Here is a 22,681-nt window from a genome sequence, read left to right as displayed (position 1 = left end):
TGCAGTGAGGGGCCGGGCATAGTAGCTCACGTCTGTCATCCCAGCACTTTGGGAGGCCGAGGCGGGTGGATCACCTGAGGTCAGGAGTTCGAGACCAGCCTGGCCAACATGGTGAAACTCTATCTCCCCTAAAAATACAAAAATTAGCCAGGCATGGTCATGGGCGCCTGTAATCCCAGCTACTTGGGAGACTGAGACAGGAGAATCGCCTGAACCCGGGAGGTGGAAGTTGCAGTGAGCCAAGATTGCACCACTGCACTCCAGAATGGGTGACGAGAGCAAAACTCCATTTCAAAAAAAAAAAAAAAAAAAAAAGACAAAAAAAAAGGTAAAAAACTTTCCATGAGCACTCGCAGTGCACTTGGTGTGTGCGCTGCTGTGTGCTAGGCGGAAGGCACATTGGGGAACAAGCCCATTAGACAAACTGAGAGGCTCCAAGCTGCTCGATGGAGGGACAGAGAGAAAGGCTGTCCAAGCTGGGCACAGCGAAGATCAAAGGCCTGGGACTGGAGGGACTTGGCCTGTTTGAGGAAGGCTGAGGGGGTGGAGCCCGGGAAAGAGTGAGTGAGGACAGGCCAGGGGGAAGGAGGTGGTGCGGCAGACCAAACAGTGCAGGCAGCCGGGCGGTGGCTCACACCTGTCATCCCAGCACTTTGGGAGGCCGAGGTGGGTGGATCACCCGAGGTCAGGGGTTTGAGACCAGCCTGGCCAACATGCTGAAAATCCGTCTCTAATAAAAATACAAAAATTAGCCGGGCGTGGTGGCGGGTGCCTGTAATCCCAGCTACTTGGGAGGCTGAGGCAGGAGAATCGCTTGAACCCAGGAGGCGGAGGTTGCAGTGAGCCAAGATGGCACCGCTGTACTCCAGCCTGGGCAACAGAGCAAGACTCCATCTCAAAAAAAAAAAGAAAGAAAGAAAGAAAGAAAGAACGAAAGAAAGAGAAATTCCAGGGTAGGTGGGGTGCAGACGGGACCCTCACGGCAATAGGGAATCACGGCAGGTTCTGGAGCCCAGTGGCTAAGCTTCCTCTGAGGGGCTTCCTCTGAGGGCCACATAAGGAATGGGCCTGGGCTGGGCTGTGGCAGATGTCCAGGTGCAGATGGTGGCGGCCTGGACTAGGGGTGGGGGACGGGGGGCAGAGGAGGCGATGGTAGCTTCCAGAAGGTTCCACACGGAACAACCTGCTGCACTTGGGGTGCCCCTGCGTTTATTGCACGGCACGGCCGTCTCCGCAGGCTCACCCAGGCCGTGGGGACAGGAGGTCCTCGGACACGAAGCGCCCGGGATGCGCACGGAGGGGTTCTGCACCCGCGCTCCCAGTGTCCCCGCACCTGCGCCCACGTGGCCTCTCACACCTGCGGCCCCAGCCGCCGCGCACGCGGCCCAGCGCAGCCCCCGCGCGCCCCCGCCAGGCGCGCCGAGGAGACCGGCGGGCGGTTGCGCGCGGCGGCGGCGCGCACGGCGGAGCCCGGGAGGCGGCGGCGGCGGCGGCGGCGGCGGCGGCGGCTGCTCGTGTCGGCTCCGGGCGGCCCCCGCGCCGCAGCCCGCGCCGTGTCCGCGGCGGAGCCGCCCAGGTGAGTGGCCGTGCCGGGGCCCGGCGTGGGGCGCGCCCGCAGACCTGGGGACCCCTCACCTGCACCCTGCGACCCTGCCGCCCAAAGCCCCCAACCCGCGACCCCATCCTCAGCCGGGGGAAATTGCCCCGCGCACCCCTCCCGGGCTCATCGCTCCTTGCCAGGCCCCCGACGCTCCCCCTGGAAACTTTGGGGGCGAACTCCCCACCCTGGGGCCCCCCGCCCCTCCTCTGGGGCGCCAAGGAGCGGGGAATCGGGTGGGCATCTCCCCGGGGCACTGGGGACGCTGGGAGGATGCGCTCCTCTCCAGGAGGAGATGAAGGGGGCACTGGTTGGGTCTGGGGTGTGGGGAACGTCCGAATAGAGCCTGCAGCCCGCGCCTTCCTGCCCTGTCTCCCCCGAGCCGGGTCTGGTCCAGCCTGGGGGTGCGGAGCTGGAAGACGCAAAGGGTATCTGGGGTCCACACCGGAGCCTGCTCCATCGCTGGAGCTGACGGCCCGGCCTGGCGGGGAGGGACCTGGGGGCATAGGGCTGAGTCCCCCTGCTCTGGGGGCGTCTGAATAGCACCAGAAATGGTGGGCCTGGGCACCCTGAGTGGGTGCCGCCACCTCCCGGGCCTCTGGGGCCTGGCCAGGGGAGGCCCTGAGTCCCATTCAACAAGTTTAGGGGAGCAGCACCTCGTGCCTTGGTCCGGGCACAAGAAAAGCCCCGGGTCCTTACGCTGGAGACCACCATGTAACTGGGTTTCTCAACGTGTGCTTGGGGCGCTAACGGTGCCGGTGTCCCGGCCCCCCCAGTTCTGAGGAGTCAGAACTTCTGAGGCGATGTGCCCCAGAAGCTGCATTTTAGCAAGCGGTCCCTGGCTAAACCATGGACGCAGCGAGGCTGCAGACACCCTTGCTCCGGCGGGGGTGGGGAGCGGGCGTCTGCTGTGCAGTGGTATTTGCAGAGGGACGATCTGGGGCTTGGCTGGGGGGAGCCTTCAGGGACAACAGAGCTGTGAGAACCAGAGCAACCCAGGAGGGCTCCCTGGAAGTGGCCTGGAGAGGATGCAGAAGGTGTGAGGTGTGAGTGGTCAGGTGGAGGACGCAGGCTGGAAACAGGTTCAGGGAGGGTGGTGCTGGCTTTATCAGGAGGCTGGTGTGGGGTGGGCTGCCGCGGCATGGCCTTACCCTGGCTGTTCTCTGAGCCGAAGCAGCAGCCATCGTCGGAGACAGGATCTGAGTGGGAAGAACCCACGGGCTTCCCCTGTAGACCCAGCTCCTGTCCCCATCTCGATGATGTGGGGTGGCAGGAAGGGGGCAGCCGGGCGGTGGGATGGGGGCTTAGGAGGGTTCAACTCAGCCTTCCCTGCCCTGCCTGTCTGGTCTTCACCGGTGACTTCCGGCAAATGACGTCCCCTCTCTCAGATCCACCCCACATGGGATTAAATGAGATGCTGCCCACCTCGGCTGCAGTGTGGTGCCACCATAAAACAGATGCTCAGGTCACGATGGTTACGGCAGCAGCCCTGCCTGGCCTCCCTCAGCCTCAGCCGTCCACCCCCAGGGTAAGCCGGGACCTGAAGGTGCCTTGCTGAGTGGGAATAGAAGGCAGTTTGATGTCTCTTCCCACAGCACTGTCATTCCCCGGCGCCCCCTGAGTCACTACCTCGTCACCAGGTAGAGCCTCTTGAAGAACTCTGCGAGCAAAGTTGGCCCCGGGTGGGCCCCATCAAGCCGCCCACCACCACATGTCAATCTCGGGCCTCCAAAGAGCGCCCTTCACCCTCTAGTGGGGAGCTGGGATTTTGTGGGTAGGAGCTGGCGTCAGATCCAGGTTCAAATGCTGACTGTCTGCAGCTAAGTTGTGCAGTGAGCTGGGGCCCACTCTGACCCTCAGTCTCCTTCTCTCCAAAACGAACTTTATTATTCCCCCTAGTCAGGGCTGGGCTAGTGGGTGAAGTGGCCGGTGTAGACAGTGGGTGCTCCAAAACTGGTTCCAGATCCAGAGGCCCTGCCTGCAGAGGGCAGTCCACGGCCCCCCGTGTACAGGCTGGGAAGGAAAGTGGGTCGGGAGGCCCCCAGCCCCTCGAGGGGTTGACGGGGACTAACAGCAGATGGAAGCTAATTAGGGCTTAATGAATTGTCATGGATGAAGCCCCGGGAGGGCCTGGATCTAGGGCAGAGGATGCAGGGGTCCTGGGGGACTGGCAGCGTGTCCCCAAAAGCAGACCTTGGAGGGCCACGTGCTGTGAGGGGCTGGGCCCCCTCCTCCCATATCCGTCTTAGAAGCTCAAACGGGGCATCCAGAGCACACTCCCCTTACTCCCACCGCCCTGGTTGTGGTGGGGGGCAGAGGGAGGGAGATGGAGGTCACTGTGGGCCTGGAAACAGAGGGGACCGCTACCACACTTCTCACTCCTGCCCCCTCTGGGTTTGGCCGGCCTCTAGGAGGGCCTTTCCCAAGGGAGATGTCAGCATCCCTTGCCCTGGGCGGGGACTGGAGGGGGATGTGTTTGAGGTAACCTTGCAAGAGGGAGGGGAAGAGCCCTGCTCAGAATAGAGGAGGCGGATTGGAAGGGCCGGGGGCTTAGCCAGGAGCTGAGGGAAGGAGCTGCCCACACCACCAGGCACCAAGAGGGTAGGGCCACCTCTGTTCTAGGGAGGGACCCCGGCCACTCACAGCCACACTCTGCCTTCTCCTTGAGCTAAGAGCTTCCAGGACCATTAATCCAGGATCCATATCTAAGGACAGCTGGGGGTACAGGGAAGAGAGGCCTCCATTGCCCAGGTCCTGCTGTGGGGGACAGTTTTGGGGAGGGGGTCCTCAAGGCCGGTGCCTGCACCGTGGTTGGTGCAGATCTCAGACCCCAAGGAGAGGTCAATGTCCCCTGCCTTCCACGCCCCAGAAGGCAGGTGCACAGATCCGGGAGGCCTCGAGCGACCTCCCTCTTCAAGACTGCAATGACCCTGATGAGTTCTGGCTGCTGTGACAGCAGTGGCTGGGAACCACACACATTTATTATTGCACCGTTCTGGAGGCCAGAGTCCAAAATGGGCCTCACTGGCGTAAAACCAGGGCATGAGGCTGGGTGTGGTGGCTCACGCTTGTAGTCTGAGCATTTTGGAAGGCCGAGGCAGGCAGATCACTGGAGATCAGGAGTTCGAGACCAGCCTGGCCAACATGGTGAAACCCCATCTCTACTGAAAATACAAAAAATTAGCCGGACGTGGTGGCTCATGCCTGTAGTTCCAGCTTCTCAGGAGGCTGAGACAGGAGAATCACTTGAACCTGGGAGGCAGAGGTTGCAGTGAGCCAAGATCGCACCAGCCTGGGTGACAGAGCGAGACTCTGTCTCAAAAAAAAAAAAAAAAAAAAAAAAAGCAGGACATGGCCAAGGCTGGGCCCTCCTGCTGCGCATTCCAGGTGAAAATCCGGTTCCCATCTTTCCCATTGCCCAGAGGCACCCGCATCCCTTGGCTCAGGGCCCCACCCTATCCCTTCATAGCCTCAGCACAGCCTCTTCCAGTCTCTGACTTTCACCCTCCCGCCTCCTCTCGTGAGGACCCTGTGAGATGTTGGGCCTCTGGATGATCCGGAATGATCTCCTGATCTCACAATTCTTACTTAATCCCATCTGCAGAGGCCCTTTTTCCATGTAAGGGTGGCCTTATCTGCAGTTCCGGGGATTAGAACCGGCTGGCTGTGGGGAGGCCTTCATTCTGCCAACCCCATTCTGCCAACCCCAGGCCCCCCTTCCCTGTTTATTTTTTCCCATACCATGGCCTGCCATGTGACAGTCGGCTTTACTTGTTTCTTCTGTTTCTTGCCCATAGACAGAAAGCAGGGATTTGTCTGTTTTGTTCACTGCTGTTTCTCTTAAAACCAGTGCCTGGCACACAGGCATTGTTTTTAAGTGCTTGTTGAATGAATGAATGAATGCTTGTTGAATGAATGTTTGTTGAATGAATGAATGAGGTGAACACATGGCCAGGAGCAAACCAGGGCCTAGGACTCTGGGCTCCTGACCCCAGCCGGCACCCAATGGAGACTTCCCCGGAAGGAACCTCCTTGCCTGACTTCTCACTCGCTCAGCCCAGGGAAGTGACTGGGAACCCTGCAGTTCCCTTTTGCAGAAGAGGAAACTGAGGCTCAGAGACTTCGATGTCTCTGCCCAAGGCAGTCAGTGGCCGATTCAGGTGAGGACCCGTGAGTTCTTGTCCTGGCTCTGGAGTGGACAAGGGGCCATTGATTCAGCACCTGGTGTCCAGTTCAGCCTCCCCATGCTCCATCATTGGCCACAGCTCTGCGTGTGGGTAACCGGGTGGAGAGGGAGATAATAGTGCCCTGCTCTCTGGAGATGGAGGTGCAGCCGAGAGTCAAGACTTTCCAGGTTTGGGTGAGGCAGGGCGACCTGGGGTCGGACCACGCAGAGCTGGACGCGCCTTCCAACTGCAACCCAGATCTCGCCATGCTCTTGCTCCATATCCTCCCATGGCTCCCCATTGCCTGTGGATGCAAGTCCGGACACCTCCCTGGGGGTTCAGTGCCCCGTGTGGTTTTGCCGTTGCCAGCTAGGGCTCCCACCCCCGCAAGCGCAGACACACCCCCGGCCAGCCTCGCCCCTCGCTTAGCTGTACCCTGCTGACCCCGGCTCCCCATCCAGGTCTCAGCTCAGACAGGGTCTTCCCTGGGCCCGTCAAACACAGCCACAGCCCGGAACAGACCCCCCCCCCCACAGCTCCCTGCTAGCTCCGCTCCTCAGCGCTTTTTTCAGACAATCTGCTCATTAGCTGGGCTGCACGATTCTCACCTGTTTGTGCCCCCACCTTGACGCTGGGGGAAAGACGCCAGTCCCTGGGGGCCACAGCCAGTCCGATTGCATTGATGCGAGATGTCCAGACGGGCCAATTCGCAGAGACAGGAAGCAGATGGGTGGGGGTCCGGGCTGGGGAGGGGCTGGGAGTGACTGCTGAAGGGGACGGGGCTTCCTTTTGGGGGTGATGGAATGTTCTGGAACTAGAGGTGCGGGCGGACGATCTGTGAATGTGCTAGAAGGCGTTGAATGGAACATTTGTAACAGGGCGTGGATGCGCCGTGCACAGGCTGTGGTGCTGCGGGCGTCTGCGTGGAAGCCGCTGTGCCTCCAGCACCCGCGCGGCACCAGGCACATGCTGGGGCTTAGGAAGAGGAGGAGAGTCCTGGGGTGCGATCGCATGGCGGGGGCCAGCACAGGGACCACCCCCACCTGTTCAGGACAGACCCCCACTCCCGTCCACCACCGCCAACGCCGTCCCTGCCGCCGGCCCGGCCCCCCTGCCAAAGGCCTCTGCGGCCTCAGCTGCGGCTGGTCGTGCATGGTAATGAGGCTCTGTCCTTGAAACACGAGTCCTCCCTCCACAGGGGTCGACGCCGCGCTCCCCCAGACTCCCGAGACCGGGCAGCAGAGCTCACCGAGCCCGCCACCAGAGCGAGGGGCCCTGCAGGGGCAGACGGGCAGTCCGGGCCTGGTGGGACGTGCCCCTTGCTGGGGAGGGGAGGCAGGAAGGTTCTCGGTCGCCAACCCCAGCTCCGGCTTCGCGCCTGTGGACGGCGGGGCGCAGAGCCGAGGAGGTGACGTCACCCGAGGACACAGCTGTTCTGACCTCCGTGACGTTTATTACCAGCTGATGTCCCGTACACTGATTTCACGGTGTCACCCGCACCAGAATGTAAGCTCCTTAAGGACAGGGGGCCGGGCATTGTGGCTCAGGGCCTGTCATCCCAGCACTTTGGGAGGCTGGGGCGGGCTGATCACCTGAGGTCAGGAGTTCGAGACCATCCTGGGCACATGGCAAAACCCTGTCTCTACTAAAAATCCAAAAATTAGCTGGGCGTAGTGGCGCATGTCTGTAATCCCAGCTACTCAGGAGACTGAGGCAGGAGAATCGCTTTAACCCGGGAGGCAGAGGTTGCAGTGAGCCTAGATTGAACCATTGCACTCCAGCCTGGATGACAGAGTGAGACTGTCTCAAAAAAAAAAAAAAAAAAAAACTACCCACAAATAAATAAATAAAAATAAAAGAACAGGGACTTTCTGGCCTCTGTTCTCTGTTGTGTTTCCAGTTCATCGAAGGGCAACTGGTACATTTTCTTTTCTTTTCCTCTTTTTTTTTTTTTTTTTTTTGAGATGGAGTCTCGCTCTGTCGCCCAGGCTGGAGTGCAGTGGCGCGATCTCAGCTCACTGCAACCTCCACCTTCCGGGTTCACGCCATTCTCCTGCCTCAGCCTCCCAAGTAGCTGGGACTACAGGTGCCCGCCACCATGCCCGGCTAATTTTTTGTATTTTTTAGTAGAGACGGGGTTTCACCATGTTAACCAGGATGGTCTCCATCTCTTGAACTTGTGATCCGCCCTCCTCGGCCTCCCAAAGTGCTGGGATGACGCGTGAGCCACCGCACCCAGCCCCGGGGTCGCGTCTTGTACCTGCTTCCTCTCTGCTGTGTGGCCCTGAGCACGTCGCCGTCCGTCTCTGGGTCTCCGCCTCCCCGTGTAAAACAGGCTGAATCACCCTGGCTCCTCCTGGGGCATGAACTGGAGGCGCACTGTGTGCCAGCGTCCTCTACAGCAAGGACCCACTCAGGGAGGTTCTGCCCCGCCGGGGACTCTGGGCCGTGTCCAGGGACATTTGTGCCTGTCACGACTGGGAAGGGGGTGCTCCTGGCTTGGAGTGGGTAGAGGCCAGGGACGCTTCTCAGCACCCGGCAGTGCCCAAGACAGAGAGTCATCCACATAAGATGTCCATGGGGCCAAGAAAGAGAGACCTGCATTAATTATTTAAATTAAAAAAAAAAACACTAAATCTGTCCCCTGCTCACACCAGACACCAGGATCAACTCCTGACCCGGCAGACGGTGTAAACCAGGGGTCCCCAGCTCCTGGGATTCACCTCCTCTCTCCCTCCCACTCAGGGCGTGGATTTCAACGTGCACAGCCTCCTGGGACCTCAGCAGGGCTGAGGATTGTGGGATGCAGAGTCTCTTGGGGGTCTGTGGAATCCCCTAACCCAGAGGGTCTGAACCAGGGTGATTCTGCTCCCAGGGGACATTTGGTAAAGTCTGGGGACATCTGTGGTGTCCCTGGCATGGAGTGGGTGGAGGCCAGGGACGCTTCTCAGCACCCTGCAGTGCCCAGGACGGCCCCACCCCAGAGAACGACCAGGCCCCAGTGTTCACAGAGCCTGGGGAGACCGCGGTTTGCAGGGGCTGGCCTGATCCTCCCCCTACTCCAGTTCCATTTGGCAGCTGGGGACACCAATGCCAGAACAGGAGGAGCGCGTTGAATGTTGGGGGCGAACTGGAGCCCGGCTGGAAGGAGGGGAGTTCGGGGTGGGGGACGGAGGCCTGGCAGTGGCGGGAGGCCCAGAGCGAGGGAGGACTCTGGCCTGTGGGAGAGGAAGGGTGGAGCTGGGGTTGGCTCCGCGTGGCCGGGGTTACGCTGGGGTTCTGTGGGTCGCCCTGGGAGAGGTCAGGGATGGGGCTGGGTCCCTGGGCTGCAGTTCAGGTGGCTGGGACACACCATCAGGAGGTATCTGTGAGCAGATGGTGTTCCCATCCTGGGAGGATGGGAGGTAATGCCCCAGGTGGGTGGCAGCTTCCTGGGAGGGGGGTGGTCCGAGGGACCGATGAGGATGGAGATAGAGAGCCCTGAAAGTGTCGCCTTCCCCCAGGACCACAGCATGAGGACAAGGGAGGGGACAGAGGCCCCTAAAGAATCAGCCTGGGGCCGGGCGCAGTGGCTCATACCTGTCATCCTAGCACCTTGGGAGGCTGAGGCAGGTGGATCACCTGAGGTCAGGAGTTCGAGACCAGCCTGGCCAACAAGGTGAAACCCCGTCTCTACTAAAACTACAAAAATGAGCCAGGTGTGGTGGCATGCACCTTTAATCCCAGCTACTCAGGAGGCTGAGGCAGGAGACTCCCTTGAACCCGGGAGGCGAAGGCTGCGGTGAGCAGAGATCGCGCCATTGCACTCTCAGCCTGGGTGACAGAGTGAGACTCCGACTCAATAAAAAAAAAAAAAAAAAAAAAAGAGGCCAGGCATGTGGTTCACCCCGGTAATCCCAGCACTTTGGGAGGCCGAGGCCGGTGGATCACGAGATCAGGAGAGTAAGACCATCCTGGCTAACACGGTGAAACCCCATCTCTGCTAAAAATACAAAAAATTAGCCGGGCGTGGTGGCGGGCGCCTGTAGTCCCAGCTACTTGGTAGGCTGAGGCAGGAGAATGGCATGAACCCAGGGGGCGAAGCTTGCAGTGAGCCGAGATCGCACCACTGCACTCCAGCCTGGGCGTCACAGCAAGACTCCGTCTCAAAAAAAAAAAAAAAAAAGGCAGGGCACAGTGGCTCACGCCTGTAATCCCAGCACTTTGGGAGGCAGAGGCGGGCGGATCACCAGGTCAGGAGATCGAGACCATCCTGGCTAACACAGTGAAACCCCGTCTCTACTAAAAATACAAAAAAATTAGCCGGGCATAGTGGTGGGCGCCTGCAGTCCCAGCTACTCGGCAGGCTGAGGCAGGAGAATTGCTTGAACATGGGAGGTGGAGCTTGCAGTGAGCCGAGATCGCACCACTGCACTCCAGCCTGGGCGACAGAGCGAGACTCCATCTCAAAAAAAAAATAAAATAAAATAAAAAATAAGAGACCAGGGAGGACAACCGGATGCATTCAGGGCACATGGTGAGCAGATGCAGGCCGTGTACACAGAATCGAGTCTCCCATGTCCCCTCTCCAGGAACCAGTTCTTCCTCCCAAGTTGGGGAACACCAGACCCTTAGGGGACATGTCAGAAGCCTGAGTCCAGCTGCCAGATCCCCCCTCCTGCCTCCCCGGCAGCACCCTGCAGAGGAAATGACAGGGCCAGGCCGTCGAGTGGGGGAGTCAGGGTTGTAAAACTAGGTCACAGCTTGAGTGGCCCCTGCTGGGCGCGAGGGATCAGCTGTCCTCTCATCCCAGGAGTAATTATAGAGCCAGAGCTTGGAGGGTGCCCCGGAGGGCTCTTGTACCTATACCGTGACAGGCGAGGTCCAGAGAGGGTAGGTTTCTCAACAGAGGTCACACAGCGCATCCGAATTGAGGCCTCCCGCAGGCACTTCTGCCACTGGATCAGTGTGACTGTGACCTAGCGATTCCAGACCTGTCATCTCTCCAGGAAACTTCCTGATTTTGCCCTTATCTGTGCTCTATGGGAACTGCTTTAAAAAAAATTTCTTGGGCCGGGTGCGGTGGCTCACGCCTGTAATCCCAGCACTTTGAGAGGCCGAGGTGGGCGGATCACGAGGTCAGGAGTTCGAGACCAGCCTGACCAACATGGTGAAATCCCATCTCTACTAAAAATACAAAAATTAGCCAGACCTGGTGGTGCGTGCTTGTAATCCCAGCTACTCGGGAGGCTGAGACAGCAGAATCTCTTGAACCCAGGAGGCAGAGGTTGCAGTGAGCTGAGATCACACCACTGCACTCCAGCCTGGATGACAGAGCAAGACTCTATGTCAAAAAAAAAAAAAAAAAAAAAATTATTGGCCCAGCACGGTGGCTCATGCCTGTGTTCCCGGCACCTTCGGAGGCCAAGGCAGGTGGATCACTTCAGCCCAGGAGTTCGAGACCAGCCTGGGCAATAGAGTGAGACCCTATCTCTACAAAAAAATGAAAAAATTAACCAGGTGTGCTGGCACTTGCCTATAATCCCAGCTACTTGAGAGGCTGAGGTGGGAGGATCGCTTGAGCTGGGGAGGTGGAGGCTGCAGTGAGCCGAGATCACACCACTGCACTCCAACCTGGGCAACAGAGCAAGAACCTGTCTCTAAATAAATAAATAAATAAATAAATTCCAACTTAAAAAGAAACCTCTAATTTAGAAAATGGACCAGGCCCAGTGGCTCACACCTATAATCTCAGCACTTTAGGAGGCTGAGGCAGGCAGATCACTTGAGCCCAGGAGTTTGAGACCAGCCTGGCTAACATGATGAAACCCCATCTCTACTAAAAATACAAAAATAAGCTGGATGTGGTGGCGGGCGCCTGTAGTCCCAGCTACTCAGGAGGCTGAGGCAGGAGAATCGCTTGAAGCTGGAAGGCAAAGGCCTCCCAGGAGATCCTGCCATTCCAGACTGGGCGACAGAGCAAGACCTTGTCTCAAAAAACAAACAGGCCAGGCGCGGTGGCTCACACTGTAATTCCAGCACTTTGGGAGGCCGAGGCGGGTGGATCACTTGAGGTTAGGAGTTTGAGACCAGCCTGGCTAACATGGTGAAACCCCATCGCTACTAAAAATACAAAAATTAGCTGGGCGTGGTGGCGTATGCCTGTAATCCCAGCTACTTGGTAGGCTGAGACAGGAGAATCACTTAAACTCGGGAGGCAGAGGTTGCAGTAAGTTGAGATCGTGCCATTGCACTCCAGCCTGGACAAAAAGAATGAAGCTCCATTTCAAAAAAAAAAAAAAAAAAAGGCCGGGTGCGGTGGCTTATGCCTGTAATCCCAGCACTTTGGGAAGCTGAGGCAGGTGGATCACGAGGTCAGGAGATCGAGACCATCCTGGCCAACGTGGTGAAATCCCGTCTCTACTAAAAATACAAAAATTAGCCGGGCGTGGTGGCGGGCACCTGTAGTCCCAGCTCCTCGGGAGGCTGAAGCAGGAGAATGGCGTGAACCTGGGAGGCGGAGGTTGCAGTGAACAGAGATCATGCCACTGCACTCCAGCCTGGGCGACAGAGCGAGACTCTGTCTCAGAAAAAAAAAAAAAAAAGGGGGGGAGGGAGGGTGCATGCCCGGGTCCTGGGGGAGCAGAGCAGGGTGAGGGGTCTGCACTGAGAGGAAAGAGCTTTTGCAGTATCTGGATGAGTCTAGGGTGGGGGTGAGGGCTGCTTGCTGTAGGGTCTTGCAGGCCAACAGATGGATGTTTCTCGCCTGAGAGCTGTGGGTAGGTTTACTTTATTCTTCTTCTTTTTTATTTTTTTTTGAGACGGAGTCTCGCTCTGTCGCCCAGGTTGGAGTGCAGTGGCGTGATCTCAGCTCACTGCAAGCTCCGCCTCCCGGGTTCACGCCATTCTCCTGCCTCAGCCTCCCGAGTAGCTGGGACTACGGGCGCCCGCCACCACGCCCGGCTAATTTTTTGTATGTTTTTTTAGTAGAGACGGGGTTTCACCATGTTAGCCAGGATGGTCTCGATCTCCTGACCTTGTGATCTGCCCGCCTCGGCCTCCCAAAGTGCTGGGATTACAGGTGTGAGCCACCATGCCCGGCCTATTCTTCTTTTTTAAAAACAGGGTCTTGCAGCTGGGCACGGTGGCTCACACCTGTAATCCCAGCACTTTGAGAGGCCGAGGTGGGTGGATCATTTGAAGTGGAGTTCGAAACCAACCTGGCCCACATGGTGAAACCCCGTCTCTACTAAAAATACAAAAATTAGCCGGGTGTGGTAGTGGGCACCTGTAACCCCAGCTACTTGGGAGGCTGAGGCAGGATAATCACCTGAACCCAGGAGGTGGAGGTTGCAGTGAGCTGAGATCATGCCATTGCATTCCAGCCCAGGCGACAGAGTGAGACCCTAACTCAAAAAAAAAAGAACCAAAAGACAGAGTCTCGCTCTGTTGCCCAAGCTAGAGTGCAGCGGCGCGATCTCAGCTCACTGCATCCTGGACCTCCTGGGCTCCAGTGATCCCCCCGCCTTGGCCTCCCAAAGTTCTGGGATGACAGGCGTGAACCACCGCGCCCGGCCTGTGGGCTGGGATTACAGGTGTGAGCCGCCACACCTGGGCTGTGGGCAGGTTTTCACCAGTGGTTTTGTAAACACTGTGGAGCGGACAGTAAGGGGGGAGGTGCAGGGTCGGGGGGCAGATAAAAGTGCCATCACCGCCCTAGCACTCTTGTCCCCTCCCGTGACACAGCCCCTGAGTGTGCTGTCGGCAGGGCAGCAGCTCGGGAGAGAATGACCCAGAAAAACAGTGCTGGGAGGGAGCTTGCTGGGAGGGAAGGATTGCCTTCCCTGTAACATGCCCAGGTTGGGATTAAGGATGATTCCGGGGTTGGGGGGGGCATGCCCCCTCTCTCGCTCCCTCCCTTCCTCCCTCCCTCGAGTTTCCTATGTTCCCAAGCTGGGGGCAGGAGGACCAAGGCCTCCTGGGAACCAGGGGCCCCTCGCTTTTCTCTCGGTGGGACCACATTCTCACCTGCGACACCTTCCTTTCCACCACACTCTGTGCTGTTCCACGTGGCATGTGAATGCCCAGTTTTGGCATCTGTACATATGTGTCCTGTCCACCTAAATCCAGAATTCAGTTTGGCGTTTCACCTTATTTATTTATGTATTTATTGAGACGGAGTTTCCCCTCTTGTCGCCCAGGCTGGAGTGCAGTGGCACAATCTCGGCTCACTGCCACCTCCGCCTGCCAGGTTCAAGCGATTCTCCTCCCTCAGCCTCACAAGGAGCTGGGATTACAGGCGCCCATCACCACGCCCGGCTAGTTTTTGTATTTTTTAGTAGAGACAGGGTTTCTCCATGTTGCTTAGGCTGCTCTCGAACTCCTGACCTCAAGTGATCCACCCGCCTCAGCCTCCCGAAGTGCTGGGATGACAGGCGTGAGCCACCGCGCCGGGCAAGAGGAGCTGCTGCTCTCACAGTTCTGGAGTCTGGAAGTCGAAGCTCAAGCAGGTCCAGCTTCCTTTGGGGGCTTTTGGGGAGACCCTTTCTGACTCTTCCAGCTTCCGGTGGTAGCTGGCCATCCCTGGTGTCACTTGACTTGTGGATGAATCACTCCAGTCTCTGCCTGTGTTGTGACTTGGCCGTTGCCTGTGTCTCTGTGTCCAGATTTCCCTCTTATAAGGATGCCAGTCATTGAATTAGGGCTCTCCCTGCTCCTGCGTGACCTCATCTTAATGAATTACAGCTGCAAGATACAAACCCTGTCCTCACTTACGTACAATTCATCTCTGACATGAAGCAGTCTCCCGGGGCTCCGCGTCTGTTCGCTCTGGGATTAAATTCGCGTAGGCACTGGGGAGGCGGGAGCTGCCTTCGCAGATATTTAGCAAATGAGGATCGAAGGCCAGTGGGAACCGTGAGGAGACGCACAACCTGGTTTGGGCCACGGGGCCTGGGGGGATGCCGAGGGGGGCTCAGCTGCCAAGATGCCAAAAATAGCCGGCCGGCTGGCGGGGGAGGCGGCCAAGCAGAAGAAGCTGGGCAATGCCGCCTGGTAGTTCTGGCTGCTTCCTCCCGCTCCCTCCAACCCCACCTCCACCCGCCACCCCAGCCCCCAGAATCTTGGCTGCAGCCAAGAAGAGCTGGTAAGGGTGCAGCAGGCTCCCAGGAGAGACGGAAACAGCCCAGGAGGCACAGCTACCAGGACCCACGGAGCATTGGCGCCTGTTCCTCTGGGCCACCACGGCTCCATGTCATCTGCCCCCCACCCAGAGGCCCCTCCTAACCCAGCTCCCCGCCCCCCTCCACTCTCTCCTTTAGCTTCACCAGACTCCCGCCACACCTCGGGGCCTCTGCCGTGGCTGTTCCCCCAGCCCACACACCCTTCCTCCAGAAAACCATGGGCTCTGTTCAACTTTTGGGTCGGCCTGTTTCCTGCCAGAACACGGCGCCACAAACCCCGGGGGGTTTAAAACAACCGAAATATATGCCTTCCCAGCTCCGGAGGCGGAAGTCCAAAATCAAGGTGTCCGCAGGGCCGGGGGCCCTCTGGAAGCTCCCGGGGCGCGTCCTTCCTGCCTCTCCCGGCTTCCTGGGGCTCTCAGCAATCCCCGGCTTGTGGCTGTGTCACCCTAGCCTCTGCCTCCGTGTTCACACGGCTCTATTTCCCCTGTATAGGGCTAGGTGTGTGTCCAAGTCTCCCTCTTGTTGTAAGGACAGGAGTCGTTGGAAAAGGCTCACTGTAATCCACTGCAGTCTCATCTAGCCCTGAGCACATCTGTAAAGACCCTGATTCCAAATGAGGTCCCGTGCACAGCAGGCACGGAGGGCAGGACGTGAACATACCTTTTTTTTTCCCTTGAGACAGTCTCACTCTGTTGCCCAGTGGCTAGAGCGCAGTGGCACGATCACAGCTCACTGAAGCCTCAACTCCTGGGATCAAGCGATCCTCCCACCCCAGATTCCCCTAGTTAGGACTATAGATGCGCGCCACCACGCCAGGCTAACTTTTGTATTTTTAGTTGAGACGGGGGTTCCCCATGTTGCCCAGGCTGGTCTCGAACTCCTGACCTCAGGTGATCCACCCACCTCGGCCTCCCAAAATGCTGGATTTACAGGCGTGAGCCACCGCGCCCGGCCTTGAACATTTGCGGGAACACAGTTCCACCTACAACAGGGTCTGAGATCAAATGTCATCTCCCTGTCTGTGGATGGGCCTGTCCTGGACATTTCATAGAAATGAGATCACACGGACGGGCGCGGTGGCTCACACCTGTAATCCCAGCACTTTGGGAGGCCAAGGCCGGTGGATTACCCGAGGTCAGGAGTTCAAGACCAGCCTGGCCAACATGGCAAAACCCCATCTGTACTAAAACTACAAAAATTAGCTGGGCATGGTGGCGGGTGCCTGTAGTCCCAGCTACTCAGGAGGCTGAGGCAGGAGAATCACTTAAACCCTGGGGAGGGGGAGCTTGCAGTGAGCTGAGATCGCACCACTGCATTCCAGCCTGGGCCAGAGTGAGACTCTGTCTCCAAAAAAAAAAAAAGGCCAGGCGCGGTGGCTCACTCCTGTAATCCCAGCACTTTGGGAGGCCAAGGAGGGTGGATCACGAGGTCAGGAGATCGAGACCATCCTGGCTAACACGGTGAAATCCCGTCTCTACTAAAAACACAAAAAATTAGCCAGGCGTGGTGGCTGGCACCTGTAGCCCCAGTTACTCGGGAGGCTGAGGCAGGAGAATGGCGTGAACCCGGGAGGCAGAGCTTGCAGTGAGGTGAGATTGTGCCACCGCACTCCAGCCTGGGTGACAGAGCAAGACTCCGTCTCAAAAAGAAAGAAAGAAAGAAACGGGGTCATACAGTGTGGCCTTTTGTGTCGCGTCTCTCACTGAGCATGGCGTCCTCAAGGTGCATCCCCACCGTGGCCTGGGTCAGAGCCTCACTCCTTTTCATGGCTGAGTCGTGTTCGTGTGTGGGTGGCTGCACGGTGCTGACCCATCCATTCCTTGGGGCACATTCCAGCCTTTTCCACTGTTTGGCTGTTACAGATGCGGCTGTGAATGTTCCCAGGTTTTCCGTGCGCTGTGTGTTCCATTCTCTTATGCAAAGACACCCAGGAGCGGGTGGGCGCGGTGGCTCACACCTGTAATCCCAGCACTTTGGGAGGCGGAGGCAGGTGGATCACCTGAGGTCAGGAGTTTGAGACCAACCTGGCCAATATGGTAAAACCCCGTCTCTACTAAAAATACAAAAATTAGCCGGACGTGGTGGCGGGCACCTGTAATCCCAGCTACTCAGGAGGCTGAGGCAGGAGAATTGCTTGAACCCGGGAGGTGGAGGTTTCAGTGAGCCGAGATCAAGCCACTGCACTCCAGCCTGGATGACAGAGTGAGCCTCCATCTCAAACAGACAAACAAACACAAACAAAACAAAACAAAAAAACCCAGGAGATTGGAATTGCAGCCACACGGTGGATCAATGCTGCTTTTTTTTTTTTTTTTTTTTTTTTTTGAGACAGGGTTTTTTGCTCTATCTCCCAGGCTGGAGTGCAGTGGCACGATCACAGCTCACTGTGGCCTCAACCCCCTGGGCTCAAGCAATCCTCCTGGCTCAGCCTCCTGAGTAGCTGGGACCACAGGTGCAGGCCACCATGCCTGGGTAAACTTTTCAATATTTCACAATTACTTGAAAACCAGCTAATTTTTAATTTTTTTTTTTTTAAGAGACAGGGGTCTCACCGTGTTGCCCAGGCTGGAGTGCAGTGGCACAAGCATATCTCACTGCAGCCTCCACCTCCTGGGCCCAAGCCATCCTCCTGCCTCAGCCTCCTGAGTAGCTGGGACCACAGGCCTACACCACCACATGCGGCTCATCTTTTATTTTTTTGTAGAGATGGGAGTCTTGCTATGTTGTGCAGGCTGGTCTCGAACTCTTGAACTCAAGCAATTCTTCCATCTCAGCCTCCCAAAATGCTGGGTTTACAGGAGCGAGCCGCCGTGCTGGGACGGGTTAGGGGCGGGCTGGCGGCAGAGGCGCCGCGGAGGGGTGCTAACGGTGCTAACGCTGCCCGCTCCCCGCCCGCCCGCAGGTGCGCAGGAGGATGGTGGCGCGGCCCTAGGCCCACGCTCCGCACCATGACCTGCTGGCTGTGCGTCCTGAGCCTGCCCCTGCTCCTGCTGCCCGCGGCGCCGCCCCCGGCTGGAGGCTGCCCGGCCCGCTGCGAGTGCACCGTGCAGACCCGCGCGGTGGCCTGCACGCGCCGCCGCCTGACCGCCGTGCCCGACGGCATCCCGGCCGAGACCCGCCTGCTGGAGCTCAGCCGCAACCGCATCCGCTGCCTGAACCCGGGCGACCTGGCCGCGCTGCCCGCGCTGGAGGAGCTGGACCTGAGCGAGAACGCCATCGCGCACGTGGAGCCCGGCGCCTTCGCCAACCTGCCGCGCCTGCGCGTCCTGCGTCTCCGTGGCAACCAGCTGAAGCTCATCCCGCCCGGGGTCTTCACGCGCCTGGACAACCTCACGCTGCTGGACCTGAGCGAGAACAAGCTGGTAATCCTGCTGGACTACACTTTCCAGGACCTGCACAGCCTGCGCCGGCTGGAAGTGGGCGACAACGACCTGGTATTCGTCTCGCGCCGCGCCTTCGCGGGGCTGCTGGCCCTGGAGGAGCTGACCCTGGAGCGCTGCAACCTCACGGCTCTGTCCGGGGAGTCGCTGGGCCATCTGCGCAGCCTGGGCGCCCTGCGGCTGCGCCACCTGGCCATCGCCTCCCTGGAGGACCAGAACTTCCGCAGGCTGCCCGGGCTGCTGCACCTGGAGATTGACAACTGGCCGCTGCTGGAGGAGGTGGCGGCGGGCAGCCTGCGGGGCCTGAACCTGACCTCGCTGTCGGTCACCCACACCAACATCACCGCCGTGCCGGCCGCCGCGCTGCGGCACCAGGCGCACCTCACCTGCCTCAATCTGTCGCACAACCCCATCAGCACGGTGCCGCGGGGGTCGTTCCGGGACCTGGTCCGCCTGCGCGAGCTGCACCTGGCCGGGGCCCTGCTGGCTGTGGTGGAGCCGCAGGCCTTCCTGGGCCTGCGCCAGATCCGCCTGCTCAACCTCTCCAACAACCTGCTCTCCACGTTGGAGGAGAGCACCTTCCACTCGGTGAACACGCTAGAGACGCTGCGCGTGGACGGGAACCCGCTGGCCTGCGACTGTCGCCTGCTGTGGATCGTGCAGCGTCGCAAGACCCTCAACTTCGACGGGCGGCTGCCGGCCTGCGCCACCCCGGCCGAGGTGCGCGGCGACGCGCTGCGAAACCTGCCGGACTCCGTGCTGTTCGAGTACTTCGTGTGCCGCAAACCCAAGATCCGGGAGCGGCGGCTGCAGCGCGTCACGGCCACCGCGGGCGAAGACGTCCGCTTCCTCTGCCGCGCCGAGGGCGAGCCGGCGCCCACCGTGGCCTGGGTGACCCCCCAGCACCGGCCGGTGACGGCCACCAGCGCGGGCCGGGCGCGCGTGCTCCCCGGGGGGACGCTGGAGATCCAGGACGCGCGGCCGCAGGACAGCGGCACCTACACGTGCGTGGCCAGCAACGCGGGCGGCAACGACACCTACTTCGCCACGCTGACCGTGCGCCCCGAGCCGGCCGCCAACCGGACCCCGGGCGAGGCCCACAACGAGACGCTGGCGGCCCTGCGCGCGCCGCTCGACCTCACCACCATCCTGGTGTCCACCGCCATGGGCTGCATCACCTTCCTGGGCGTGGTCCTCTTCTGCTTCGTGCTGCTGTTCGTGTGGAGCCGCGGCCGCGGGCAGCACAAAAACAACTTCTCGGTGGAGTACTCCTTCCGCAAGGTGGATGGGCCGGCCGCCGCGGCGGGCCAGGGAGGCGCGCGCAAGTTCAACATGAAGATGATCTGAGGGGTCCCCAGGGCGGACCCTCCCCTCCCCTCCCCCGCGGGCCGGCCGCTCGCGTGTCCACCTATGCATTTCCCGGAGGGGAAGGGGACGGCTGCACGGCGCTCCCCAGGCAGAACTTCCCCTTTTTTTGTAGACGCCCAACCGCAGGACTGTTTTTCATCAGCATGCGTCTTTTTTGCAGTTTCTCAAGCGTTTTCTAAAGATTTCAACCCGTCTTCCTGTCCCTGCTATGGTGGCTGAGCTGGGGGGTGGGGGTGCGGGCTGCAAGGATGGGGGGATGGGCTCCCGTCTACCAACCCGGGGTGGCTGGGGGCGCTCAGAGACCCCAGGATCCTCAGGGCCCGCAATTCACACCCAGGAGGCACAAGACTGCTGCCCCCAAGCCCTGGGCTTCCGCTCCCCCAGCCCTTTGTACACAGATCGCATCGGGGAGACGGTGGACACCCGGGTCCCACAAAGGGCCCCACAGCCCCAAGGGGAGGGTGCGCAGAAAGTCTGCATTGCTCACACCTGGCCGTCCTACACCTCACACCCAGAGACACACTCACACCTGGAACCCAATCACACAGGTGCAACACACCTCACACCCAGCCGACACTAAAACCAGACCCGGGGCACCAGAGCTGACCGCAGGGGGCAGGCAGGGCTCTCGTGAGAGCAAAGCTCACACCCGGGACAGGCGCAACTCACACCCGGGACACACAGCTCACACCCAGGACACACACAGCTCACACCCAGAACACACAGCTCACACCCGGGACACACAGCTTACACCCGGGAAACACAGCTCACACCCGGGACACACAGCTCACACCCGGAACACAGAGCTCACACCCGGGACACACAGCTCATACGCAGGACACACTCAGCTCACACCTGATACAAGGACAGCTCACAGTGGAACACACAGCTCACACCCGGGATACAGCTCACACCCAGGACACACTCAGCTCACACTGGAACACACAGCTCACACCCAGAACACAGAACTCACATCTGGGACACACACAGCTCACACCCGAGACACACACCCTCACACCCAGCTGACACTAAAACCAAGCCCTGGGCACCAGAGCTGACCACAGAGGCAGGCAGGGCTCTCGTGAGAGCACAGCTCACACCAGGGACATGCTCAGTTCACACCTGGGACAGGCACAACGCATAACTGAGACACAGCTCACACCTGGGACACAGAGCCCACCCCAGCGCCTGCTCAGCTGAGCATCTCCCAGCCGACCTCGGGGCCTGGGCTCAGGTCTTGCTGAGGACCCAGCACACACGGTGGTCACAGTCAGGGGTCCACACGCCCTGTCCTCCGTCCTCCCCACAGCCCAGCAGGGCTGTCCACAAGAAGGAGCCATCACCCCAGCCCTCCGCCTCCCTCCGCTGCCACGTGCTTCCCAGAACAGCAGGCAAGAGAGGGCCACCCCACAAGGGAGAGGTGGCCACCCTGCCCCGGCCCAGAACCATGGCTTCTGGGGTGCTGAGTGTCCTTCCAAATGGGTCTACTGGAGGGACTTTTGCCCCTAGGTACACATGACCTCTGAGCCGGCCTCAGACAAGCCCTGAGCGTGGCCCCATCATGGCCGGCCCTGCTGACCCGTGGCTCAGGTGGGGAACGAGACCAAAGAGCACAGGGGGTTCCCGGGGATCCCGGCTACGTGCGGTGCAGTGTAGTGACAAGAACAAGGCCGGAACAAGGGCTTCACCCTGCAGGGAGGCCTGGACCCGGGTCCTCGGGAGAAGGTGATGGAGGAAGCTGGGTCTCTGCACCTGCAGAGGTGGGGCAGATCCAGGACCAAAGCTGGGGTCACAGGCCGACTGCAGCTCTGGTCAAGGAAGAGCTTCCCTGAGGTCACCGCCCGGTTGCTCTGCAGATGGTGGGCATCCTGTCACGGGGGGCAAACAAGCAGGAGCTGAGGTTTTGCAGAAGGATTCAGGCACCAGACCGGGACCACAGGGACCATCTGTGACCTGGCCTCCTCACAGCCAGTTCTTGCCCCTCCCCTCCACATCCTCCAGAGGACAGTTAGGACATTGCTGGGGGCAGGGACAGGAACCACTGTTGGGCCAAAACCTCAGCCAGAAAGGGGCTTGGCTGCCAACCAAGAGGTTAGGACAGACCCTCCAGGACTTTGCGGGAAGGGCTCAAAAGCAGCTCTGCTCCTGCCCGGCTATGTGATCTCAGCTGGTGACTGAAGACCACCTAGACCATCAGTGTCCTCATCTGTAAAATGGGTCTGAGGGTCAAACCTATTACCCTGTATTCAGAGGCCAGGCCTGCAGATGAGCTTGATGGCTTGACTTGGATCCTGGATCCCTGAAGACTGCTCTGAGATCGATCAGCCAGAGAGAAACAGAGAGAAAGCTGGCTCAGCCCTGAAGGCTTTGAGCAAAAGTTTCAGAAGGAGCTGGAAGGAGACAACAGCCCGTTCTCCCTGAGCTGTGGCCGGGAGGGCCCAGGCCAGCACCACGATGTACAGATGGCCCAGGGGGCTCGACATGAGTGAGGGCTGAAGTTCGTGCAACCCCAACCGCCACCCCTGAATTGGGCAGAACCAATTTTTTTCTTAGCACCTGTCTGACTCTGCTTACCATGACAACCCCAAGGGCCCCCCAGAATTGATATCCAAGTGCCTTTAGCCTATCAAAGACAGGAGGGGGTGCATTCTCGGCCAGGTTAGGGTTCACAGAGCATCCGTATATTAGGATTTCCCAGCCCCCTGAGCCCCCCACCCCATCCCAACATGAACTAAGACCCCTCAGCACCCCCACCCCTCATCCTGCTGTATTTGGTTCAAATCCAATAAAAATGGAACCGATTTAATAACAAACTTCAGATTTTGTTCTTACTCCCATGGGAGCAACAGGGGGCAGGGCTGAGGGATGAGGGGCTGCTGGGGTCCCCAGGGGAAGCCAACCCTGAGGGAATTCCACGCCACTAGTGACATGTGATAGGCCACACTTCTGCAGCGCCCATGCTGTTCCCGGCGCTGTTCCAGGCGCTGTGTGTGTTCCCTCCTTTCA

At 59.4% G+C, this 22,681-nt stretch overlaps 1 protein-coding gene and 1 long non-coding RNA gene across 3 annotated transcripts, besides 3 other annotated features; one reads left to right on the top strand and one right to left on the bottom strand.

Annotated features, from left to right (window-relative positions):
• Positions 1 to 1,497: 1,497 nt before the first annotated feature.
• Positions 1,498 to 22,488, top strand: LINGO3 (leucine rich repeat and Ig domain containing 3). The gene is made up of 2 exons (NM_001101391.3): positions 1,498 to 1,576; positions 17,830 to 22,488. The coding sequence occupies exon 2, from the start codon at positions 17,876 to 17,878 to the stop codon at positions 19,652 to 19,654; it is 1,779 nt and encodes a 592-aa protein (NP_001094861.1). The 5' UTR covers positions 1,498 to 1,576; positions 17,830 to 17,875; the 3' UTR covers positions 19,655 to 22,488.
• On the bottom strand, positions 5,427 to 7,520 carry LOC101928572 (uncharacterized). Of its 2 annotated transcripts, none has more exons than XR_007067088.1 (2): positions 6,372 to 7,520; positions 5,427 to 6,067 (listed from the first exon to the last, which is right to left on the bottom strand). It is a non-coding gene; the product is annotated as an uncharacterized LOC101928572 (long non-coding RNA). The 2 variants fall into 2 exon arrangements; XR_936243.2 differs by having other exon boundaries at positions 5,427 to 6,093; positions 6,372 to 7,334.
• Positions 7,100 to 7,189: a silencer, noted in NCBI's record as "silent region_9785". NCBI's record gives its function as "represses an Ori minimal core promoter by ATAC-STARR-seq in GM12878 lymphoblastoid cells {active_cell/tissue: GM12878}" and the evidence as "EXISTENCE:reporter gene assay evidence [ECO:0000049][PMID:35858748]".
• Positions 19,087 to 19,156: a silencer, noted in NCBI's record as "silent region_9784". NCBI's record gives its function as "represses an Ori minimal core promoter by ATAC-STARR-seq in GM12878 lymphoblastoid cells {active_cell/tissue: GM12878}" and the evidence as "EXISTENCE:reporter gene assay evidence [ECO:0000049][PMID:35858748]".
• Positions 19,617 to 19,726: a silencer, noted in NCBI's record as "silent region_9783". NCBI's record gives its function as "represses an Ori minimal core promoter by ATAC-STARR-seq in GM12878 lymphoblastoid cells {active_cell/tissue: GM12878}" and the evidence as "EXISTENCE:reporter gene assay evidence [ECO:0000049][PMID:35858748]".
• Positions 22,489 to 22,681: the final 193 nt, after the last annotated feature.

The sequence above is a fragment of the Homo sapiens genome, chromosome 19, assembly GCF_000001405.40.
Source record: "Homo sapiens chromosome 19, GRCh38.p14 Primary Assembly".
NCBI classification, from domain to species: Eukaryota; Metazoa; Chordata; class Mammalia; order Primates; family Hominidae; genus Homo; species Homo sapiens.
This window is presented reverse-complemented; position numbering and strand designations above follow the sequence as displayed.